Genomic DNA, 10,102 nt, shown 5'->3' with positions numbered 1-10,102 from the left:
ACTGTCCGCCTCTCCGCCGCTGTCCGTCTCTCCGCCGCGCCGCCGCTGTCCGCCTCTCCGCCGCTGTCCGCCTCTCCGCCGCGCCGCCGCTGTCCGCCTCTCCGCCGCCGTCCGCCTCTCCGCCGCGCCGCCGCCGTCCGCCCAGGCGCCACCATCCGCCTCTCCGCCGCGCCGCCGCTGGCCGCCTCTCCGCCGCCGTCCGCCTCTCCGCCGCGCCGCCGCTGGCCGCCTCTCCGCCGCTGTCCGCCTCTCCGCCGCGCCGCCGCTGTCCGTCTCTCCGCCGCGCCGCCGCTGGCCGCCTCTCCGCCGCTGTCCGTCTCTCCGCCGCGCCGCCGCTGGCCGCCTCTCCGCCACTGGCCCCCTCTCCGCCACGCCGGCGCCAGCGCTGTGTGCCTTTGCGAGGGCGGAGCTGCGGTCTCCTCAGCACAGACCCGGAGAGCATTGCGAGGGCGGAGCTGAGTTCTCCTCTGCAGACTTCGGAGATACAGCGAAGGCAGAGCAATGTTCTCCTCAGCAGAGACCCGGGCGGGCGGGCCGGTGGCACCGCGAGGGCGGAGCTGCGTTCTGCTCTGCACAGACCTTGGGGGCACTGCCTCGCTTTGGGACAACTCAGGGCCGCATGGACAGTGAATAAAATCCTTCCTGTTTGCAGCCCTGTTTGTGGTTGGTGGCAGCGATGGACACTGCAGCCAGCCAGAGCGTAGAAAGGCGTCGGGGTAAGTGCACTATCCAGGCTGCACTGTGGGTGGCCTGGGACGGGTTGGGAGCCCTATCTCAGGCGTCACTGCCCGTCTTGGGTGGCCGGTTGGGTGTGCTATCTGGGGCTGTGCTGCCTGCACCGGGCGGGGGGGGGGTGGTTTGGGGGCCAAACCGGGGCTGCACTGCCTTTGGTGGGGAGCCGGTTGGGGGCACTATCCCAGACTGTATTGCTGGCAACAGTGAGGTGGGCTAAGTGTGCTATCCGGGGCTGCACTGTGCGGCTGTCGGGGGGGTGGCGGTTTCGGGTTGAGGGCGCTATGGGGTGCTGTAATGCCCATGGTGTGGGGAGGCGGGGCAGTTTGGGTATGTTGGGTGTGCTATTGGGGGGGTGACACTGCTGGTGGTAGGGGGCAGGGTGGGTTGGGGGCCATATCAGGGGCTGCACTGATGGCTTTAGCTAGGATTTCTGGTACTATGTTAAACAACAGTGGTGACAGGGGGCATCCTTATGTTCCAGATCTTAGAGGAAAAGCTTTCCATTTTTCCCCATTCCATATGATTCTAGCTGTGGGTGTCTTTCCTGTAGTTTTTATTACGTTGCGGTATGTTTCTTCTGTGCCCGTTTCTTTGAGGATTTATAGCATGAAGGGATGTTGAATTTCATCAAATGCTTTTTCAGTTTCAGTTGACGTGATGATACTGTTTTTGTCGTTTATTTGGTTGATATGATGTATCACATTGTATGTTGAGTGACCCTTGGGTCCCAGGGATACATCCCACTTGATCATGATGAATTATCTTTTTAATGTATTACTGAATTTGATTCACTGGTATTTTGTTGAGGATTTTTGCATCAATATTAGAGATCCTGGCCTGTAGTTTCCTTCTTTGATGCTTTTGTCTGATTTTGGTATCACAGTAATAATGGTCTCATAGAATAAGTTTGGAAGTATTCCCTCCTGTTTTTCAAAATAGTTTGAGCAGGATTCGTACTAGGTCTTTAAATTGTTTGGTGTGAAGCCATCAGCAGTGAAGACATCAGTTCCTGGGCTTTTCTTTACTGGGAGACTTTTTCTGATGGCTTCAATCTCATTACTTGTTACCAATCTGTTCTGGTCTTGGATGTTTTCATTGTTTAACCTAAGTAGGTTGTATGCATCTAGGAATTTGCCAATTTCTACTAGGCTTTCCAATTTATTGGCATATAGTAGCCAGTTATGATCCTTTGAATTTCTGAAGTATTAGTTGTAATGTCTCCTTTTTTTAATCTGTTGATTTTATTTATTTGAATCTTGTCTCTTTTCTTAGCCTGGTTAAAAGTTTGTCAATTTTGTTTAGCTTTCCAGAAAACCAACTTTTCGTTTAATCTTGTCTGTTTTTTATTTCAATTTTGTTTGTGCTATGATCTTATTTATTTTCTTATTTTCAGTTTAGTTTGTTCTTTACTAGTTCTTTAAGATGTATTGTTTATTTGAAGGTTTTCTTTTGTTTGGATGGTAGGCACTTATAGCTGTAAATCTCTGCCTTTGTACTGCTTTCTGCATAACAAGTTTTGGTATACTGTGTTTTCATTACCCTTTGTTTCATGAAATTTTTGAATTTCTGTCTTAGTATCTTCATTGACCCACTAGTCATTTATTCAGGAGGGTAGTGTTTAACTTCCATGTGATTGTATTGTTTCCAAAATTGCTTTTCTTATTGATACCTAGTTTTATTCCTTTGTAGTGAAAGAAGATGGCCACGGAGACAGACAGCAGCGTGGTCAGAGTGGTAGGAGCCGGCCATCAGCGAGAGCTGCTCCATGCCTGGCTGCTGGGTCCTAGAGCCTGTGGCCCACTGGCTTGCCTCACTGTGGTTGGTGGTGGTGGTGACAGAGACTGCAGGACGACCAGAGTGGTAGGACAGGGGCTATCCAGGGCTGCACCTTTCGCAGTGTGGGGTGGGTTGAGGGCGCTATCCAGGGTGTCATTGCCTGCATTAGGGGTACTGGTTGGTAGCACTGTACAGGGCTGCACTGCCCACGGCAGGGAGGGTGGGTTATGGGTGCTCTCTGGGGCTGCAATGCCCATGGAGGAGGACAGGTTAGGGCACTATCAGTTATACGCTACTGGCGGCATTGGGGGACGGAGGTGGGGGGCGCTATTGAGGGCAGGGCTAGCCATGGAGCGGGGGCGAGTTCGGTGCTATCAGGGGCTGCACTGCTGGTGTCGGTCAACAGAGTTGGCATCCAAGGAAGGAGTGGTTCTCCTCTCCCTGACTCCACACTCCAGAGGGCGACCCACTCTTGGTCATACTGGAGTGCAGCAGGGCACACAGCGTTTGCGTGGGAATCCTGAGCATGGCAGAGCCCCCACACCCACCGTGGTTCCTGGGCCTGTGTACTGTGGGTCTGTGCCTCAGAGGCTGCCAGGCACCCCTGGGGACACCACGGGGGACAGGGCCCTGTGCGTGGAGGTGTCCGGAACAGGAATTGGCACCTGGGTGTGGAGGGCTGGCTGGGTCTGAATTTTTCTGCTTCTCCTGCTCCCCGAGGAGTGCAGCCCCAGTGGGCCCAATGGTTCCTGTGGAGTGGGGAGCTGGATGCTGTGGTGTCTCCAGCACCCACCCCAGACCCCAGTTCCTGCCCAGCTTGGGCCAAAAGGAGAGGCTGGACTTTGTAGGGTGGGTGTGAGTGCCTTTGCTGAAACTGGCCCCTGCCACCCAGTGGCCGGCATGACAAGTTGAGGCTCTAACCCTTCCACCCCTCACATCTTTCCCTAGGCTTTTCTGGCTTTGCCCGCCCAGCTGCTCTGTGCCAGGAGGAGGAGGAGACACCTAGAGCCTGCGACACCATGGCTCGCCTCGCTGCGGGTGGGCGGCAGTGACAGAGACTGCGGTGCGCCAGAGTGGTAGGAGAGCGGCTGCGCTAGGAGGGCAGGCGGCTGCAGCCAGGGTTGGGGGTCAGGCTTAGAGCGATGGACGGGCTGCAGCAGTGGCCAGGTGGTAGGAGCCTTGTAGGGAGGGCTGGTGCCTTGGCAATGGGCCTGGCTTTGCCCTGCGCCTGCCGTGGATCTGGCCCTGTACTGCCCTGCCTTGCCCTGTACCTGCCCTACTGTTACTTGGACTCTCGGCCCTGTCCTGCTCTGGTCCCATCCTGACCCTGTCTTGGCCCTGTGCTACCCTGTCCCTGCCCTGGTCTTGCCCTGGCACTGGCCCTGCCCTGAACCTGCACTGGCCTGACCTTGGCTCTGGCCCTGGCTCTGGCCCTGCCTCTTGTCCTGACCCTGGTCGTGTCATGGCACTGGCCCTGCCAATGGTCATGGTCCTGCTCCTGTTCTGGCCCTGACCTGGCCTTGGACATGTCCTGGCCCTGCTTTGGCCCATCCCTGCCCTGGCTCCACCATGGGCCTGCCTGTTCTGCCCTCTCCTGGCACTGACCTTGCCCTGTCATGGCCCAGTGGTGCCATTGCCCTGCCTTACCCTGCGCTGGTTGTGACTTGGCCCCGCTTGGTGCTGGCCACTCCCTGGACCTGCCCTGGACCTGCCCTGACCCTGCCCTTGGCTTTTGCCCTGCCCTCACTATGGCCTGGCCCTGGCCCTAGCCCTGGTCCTGCCATATCCCTGGCCCTGCCCTTATCCAGGCCCTGCCCCTGCTGCTGCCCTGGCCCTGGCCTGGAACCTGGTCCTGTCAAGAACCTGCCCTGACTCTGCCATGGCCCTGGCCCTGCTCTGCCTTGTTCCTGGCCCTGACCCAGACCCAGACCCTTTCCTGGCTCTGCACTGGACTTTCCCTGGCCCTGAGCTGGCAATGGTCTGCCCCTGGTCTTGCCATCACCCTGCCCTGCTGCGCTCTGGATGTGTCATCACCCTGCCCTGGCCCTACTCTGCCTTTGACCCTGCCCTGGCCTTACCTTGGCCCTCACCCTAGCCTGCGCTAGACCCTGCTCTGGAGCTGACCCTAGCACAGACCTGGCCCTGATCCTGGCCGTGGTCTTTGTCCTGCCATAGCCCTGGCCCTGAAGTGGACTTGGAGGTGTCCTGGCCCCGGCATAACATGGCTCTGCATTGGCCTGTCCCTGCCCTGCCGCTACCATCTCCTTGCCCTGCTCTGTCCTGTCCCAGTACTGACCCGGCCATGCTATTTCCCTTCCCTACCCTGCCTTGGCTGTGCCCTGGCTCGGTTCTGGCCCTGGCCCTGGCCCTGCCCTGGACATGCTCTGACACTGCCTCAGCCTCGGCACTAGCCTGGCTCTTTCTTGGCATCAGCTCTGCTCTCTCTGTGGACCGGCTCTTGTCCTGTCCTGCACTGGCCATACCATGCCCTGCCCTGCCCTGCCCTGACTCAGTCCCGGGTCAGCCCTGGCCCAACCTTGGCCTTGGCATTGCCCCTGGTCATGCCATATTTCTTGCCCTGTCCCTACCCTGGCCTTGGCCCTGACCCTTACCTTGCTGTGGCCCTGCCCTTGCCCTAACGCAGCCCCTGGCCCTGTCATGGCCCTGCCCTGGACCTGTCCTGGCCCTGGCCCTTCCCTGCTTGAGACCTTGCCCTGGTTCTCCCCTGGCCCTGACCCTGAAATGCCTGGCCCTACCCTGGCCTTGCACTGCTCTGGCCCTTGCCCTGACTCTGGTCCTGTCACTGGCCTAGCCCCAGCCCTGTTGCTGGTCTTACCATGGCCCAGACCCTGCCTTGGCCCTGCCCTGACACTGTCCTGGACCCTGGCTGTGCCAAGAACCTGCACTGTCCTTGCCATTGTTTTGCTCCTGCCCTGAACCTGGTCTTCCCCAGGCCGTGGCCATGGCCCTGGCCCTGGCCCTGCCCAGGTCTTGGCACTGTCCTGGCCCCGCCCTGCCCTGGCCCTGCCCTGCCCTGGCCCTATGCTTTCCTGGCCCTGCCTTGCCGGCCCTGGCCCTGCCTTGGCCCTAGCCTGGCTTTGACCCTGCCCTGGCCCTACCTTGGCCTTCACCCTAGCCTTACCTGGGCACTGTGTTGGACCTGGCCATAGCACAGACCTGGTTGTGGCCCTGGTCCTGCTGTGGCCCTGTCTCAGACCCTAGCCCTGCCAGGTACCTGTCCTGGCCCAGCTCTGGGCCTGGCTTTGTCCCTGGTTCTTAGATGAACCTGGCCCTGCTCCTGCCCTTGCTGTTGCCCTGGCACTGGCCTTGGACATGTCCATGGTCCTAACCCTGGCCCTGCCCAGGAGCTGCCACTGTCTTGGCTGTGCCCTGGCTCTGGCCCTGCCCCGGCCCCAACCATAGACCTGCCCTGGTTGGTCGTGCCCTACCTTAACCCTGTGCTACCCTGGGCCTGCTCCACCCTGCCCTGGCCCTGCCCTCCCTTTGGCCCTGCCCTGACCCTGCCTTGGCCCTCACACTGGCCCTAGCACAGACCTGGTCCTATGTGTGGCCTAGGCCTGGCATTGACCCCTGCTCCTGACCCCGGTCCTGCCATGGCCCTGGCCCTGCCAATGACCCTGGCAGCCCTGACCCTGGCCCTGTCTTGGCCCTGGCCCTGAACTGGCCCTGCCCTGACCCTGGCCCTGAAGTGGATTTGCAGGTGTCTTGTCCCTGATGTAACCTGGTCTTACCATGGCCCTGTCCCTCCCCTGGCTCTGTCCTGGCCTTCTGCTGACCCTGACCCAGACCTTGGTCCTGCCCCAGCCTTGTCCTAGATCTGGCCATGGCCCTGCATCTTCCCTGGACCAGCACTGGCACTGGCATGGACCCTGGCCCTGACCCTTCGCTACTTAAGGCCATACCCTGGCCCAGCCCTGGTCCTGACCCTGTCCTGGCCCTAATTTGGCCTGGCTCTACCCTGGCATGCTATTCTGGCCCTAGCCCTGACCCTGTCCCTGTCCCTGTCCTGGCCCCAGCCCCATTGCTGGTCCTGCCACGGCCCTTGTCCTGACATTGCCCTTTCCTGGTTCTGGCCCTGGCCCTGTCCCAGCCCTGCTCTGGCCCTGGTCTGAACCCTGGCCCTGCAATAGACCTGCCTTGGTCCTGCCCAGACCCTGGCTCTGGCCCTACCTCTGCCCTGGCCATACCCTTGCCCTGGCCTGGACCCCAGTCCTGGTCCTTGTCCTGCCCCAGCCGTGGCCCTGGCCCTGCCCTGCCTGTGCCCTGTTCTATCCTGGGCTGGCCCTGCCATGGCCTGGTCTTGCCATTGCCCTGCCCTAGCCTGCCCTGCTTGTGCCCTAGATCTGCCCCGGCCTTTGCCCCTGTCTTGGTTCTAGCCTTGACTGAGCCCTGGACCTTCCCTGATCTTGCCTCAGCCCTGGCACTACCCTGGCCTTGCCTTGGCATTTGCCCTACTCTCTCTATGGCCTGGCTCTGGTCCTGCCCTGCTCTGCTCTTGTTCTGTCCTGGCACAGCCCTGGCCCTGGCCCTGGCCCTGCCGTATCACTGGCTCTGGTCCTGCCCTTATGCAGACCTGACCCTGCCACTGCCTTGGCTTTGGCCTGGACCTTGGCCATACAGTGACCCTGCCATGACCCTTTCCTGGCCCTGGCCTGGAACCTGGCCCTGCCAAGGACTCGCCCTGGCTCTGTCATGGCCCTGGCCCTTTCCTGGATTTGGATGTGTCCTGTCCCTTATTTGCCCTGGCCCTTCCCTGGCTCTGCCATACCCCTTCTCTGGGGTAGGGCCAGGGTCAGGACCAGACCAGGGCAGGGTCAGGACCAGGGTAGGGCCATGGTAAGGCCTGAAGATGGGAAGGGCCAGGGCAGCGGCTGGACCAGGGAAGGGTCAGGGCCAGGGATGTAGTAGGACTAGGGGCAGAGCCGGCACTAGGGCTGAGCCAGGACAGAGCAGGAGAGATTACATTGGGCTATTACATAAAATTTTTATTTTAGATTTTTAAGATAACTATAGTAGTAGTAATGTCTATACTATATTGTTTGTAATAGTAATAATATTTGCAGTAATCACTAAATTTTAACTAATACTATCTTTGCTTCCAGTAGTGTTCTATGAGTATAATTTTATCAATATGTTAATATGTGAGGCATTGATTCTCACAATAATTCTATGTGCTAGGTACTTAAAGCATCCCCATTTTCCAAATATAGGAAACAGGTATAAAGAAGTTAAATACTTGGCCAGATTACTCCTGTAATCCCAGCACTTTGGGAGGCCAAGGCAGGCAGATGGCTTGAGCTCAGGAGTTTGGAACCAGCCTGGGCAACATTGTGAAACCCCATCTCTACTAAAAATGCACAAAAAGAACTAATTTAAGTTTCTTGTAGGATTCTGGTTATAAAACACTGGTCAAACACACAGGGCATGGATAGGGCAGGGCCAGGGACAAGGTCAGGCCAGGAAGGGGCCAGGGCCAAGGCAGGGCCAGAGATGGACTTGGAGATGTCCTGGTCTGATTTGCCCTGCCCCAACGTTGGTCCAGCCCTGCTCTGGCACTTCCTGTCATGCCCTGTCCCTGGCCTGAGCATTGGCCCTGGCCCTGTCCTGCTTCTGGCCCTGCCCGGGAGTTGACCAGGCACTGCCATGGCCCAGTCCTGCATTGCCCTGCCCTCCTCTGCCCTGGTGCTACCATGGCCCTGCTTGGGCCCTAGCTCTGCCTCGACTCTGGACCTGCCCTGACTCTGCTCAGCCCTGGATCTACCCTGACTCTGCCTTGGTGTTGCCCTCCCATCTCTATGGCCTGGCTCTGGCCGTGCCTTGCACAGATCATGCTCTGCCCTGCGTGTCCCAGCCTGGGCCCAGCCCTCGTCCTACCATATTCCTGACCCCAGCCATACCCTTGTTCTGGCCGTGACCCTGCCGTGGCCCTCTCCTGGCCCTTCCTTGGTCCTGCCCTGCCTTTCCATGCCCTGGCCTTGCTCTCACCCTGCATTGGCCCTGCACTGGTCCTGCCCTGCCCTGGCACTGCCTTGGCCCCGGCCCTGCCTTCTCCCTGGTCTTGCCTTTGCCCTGCCCTGGCCTGACCCCAGGCCTACCGAGTCCATGAAATGGCCCTGGACCTGCCTTGCCATCGTCTGTCCTGGCCCTGTATTGTCCCCACCATGCTCTGGTCCAGCGCTTGCCCTGGCCCTGTTGCTAGTCCTGCCACTGTTATGGCCCTGCCCTGTTTTTGGCCATGCCCTGTGCTACCCTAGCCCTGCCCTGCCTTGGCCTTGGCCCTACCATGGCCTTCTCCTACCCTGGCCTGGCCCTACACTGGCCTTTTCTACTCTGGCCTTGCCCTTCCCTGGTCTTGCCTTGCCCTGGCCTTGCCCTGCCCTGGCCTTGGCTTTGCCTTATCCTGGTCCTGGTTCTGCCCTGACCCTGGCCTTGCTCTGGATCCTCTCTGGTTCTGCTTTCTCCCTGGCCCTGCCCTTGCTCTGGCCCTGTCCCTGGCCCAGCCTTGACCCTGACCCTGGCCCTGACAATCCCCAGGTCTGACACTGGCCATGCTTGGCCCTGGCCCCTCCTTTTGGCCCTGCCCTGGCCCTGCCTTGGCCCTGTGCTATCTTAGTCCTGCCCTGGCCCTGAACTCACCCTGGCCCTACCCTCACCCTACACTGGCCCCGCCCTACCCTGGCCTTGCCCTGCCCTGGCCCTGCCTTTGGCCTGCTCTGGCTCTGGTTCTGCCCTGGCCTTGCCCTTGCCCTGGACCCTCCCTGGCCGTGTTTTTTCCATGGTCCTTCTCTGGCCTTGCCCTTGCCCTGTCCCCTTTCTGGTCCTGCCATATTTCTGGCCCTGTCCTGTCCATGTCCTGGACCTGACTCTGGCCCTGGACCTCCCTGTCCCTGCCCTGCCATACCCTGGCCCGTTCCTTGCTCTACACTGACCCTGCCCTGCCTTGGCCCTGCACTACCCTAGCCCTGCCCTGGCCTTCTGCTGACCCTGATCCTGCCATGGCCCTGGCCCTGCCATGTCCCTGCCCTGGCCCTGGTTCTGCCCTGCTTCTGGCCCTGGCCTTGGTCCTCTCATGTCCCTGGCCGTGACCCTGCCCCTGGTTTTTCTCTGGCCATGACCCTGCCCCTGTTCTGTCCTATCCCTGGCCCTGTCTCAGTTCTGTCCTAGCCCTGGCCTTTCACAGTACTTTATGCTTAGTAAGGGCTCCATGGTGTCTGTGAGTTGAATGTAGTGTTCATAGTATCTGCCAAAACAGAAAGAAAAAAAACAAAATATTTTGATAAGAAGTTAAAGCTTTGTATATAATATGCCTTGAATTGTAAATGCCTGTTATTAGTTGTATTACATATAGGTCATGGTTTTGTACACATAACTCCAAACCATTGATACTGTTAAAAGAATATATGAATATATGAAAGAATGTATAAACGTAAGAATGTATCAGTATCTAATGACCTTTCCAAATTAATATTTATTTTTAGCTCTATTAGATTTTTCTCAGTGTAACAAACGTTTATTCCTATGTAATTAAGGGCGTATTTCCTGTACAGAATATTCATATTACCTAATTGAA

The 10,102-nt window shown here is 58.4% G+C and overlaps 1 long non-coding RNA gene across 1 annotated transcript; it reads left to right on the top strand.

The window, feature by feature from the left end:
• Positions 1–375: 375 nt before the first annotated feature.
• On the top strand, positions 376–9,194 carry LOC105371207 (uncharacterized). Its single transcript, XR_922026.3, has 3 exons — positions 376–716; positions 2,425–2,595; positions 3,460–9,194. It is a non-coding gene; the product is annotated as an uncharacterized LOC105371207 (long non-coding RNA).
• The last annotated feature ends 908 nt before the right edge of the window (positions 9,195–10,102 follow it).

This window comes from Homo sapiens, chromosome 1 (genome assembly GCF_000001405.40).
Source record: "Homo sapiens chromosome 1, GRCh38.p14 Primary Assembly".
Lineage (NCBI taxonomy): Eukaryota > Metazoa > Chordata > Mammalia > Primates > Hominidae > Homo > Homo sapiens.
This window is presented reverse-complemented; position numbering and strand designations above follow the sequence as displayed.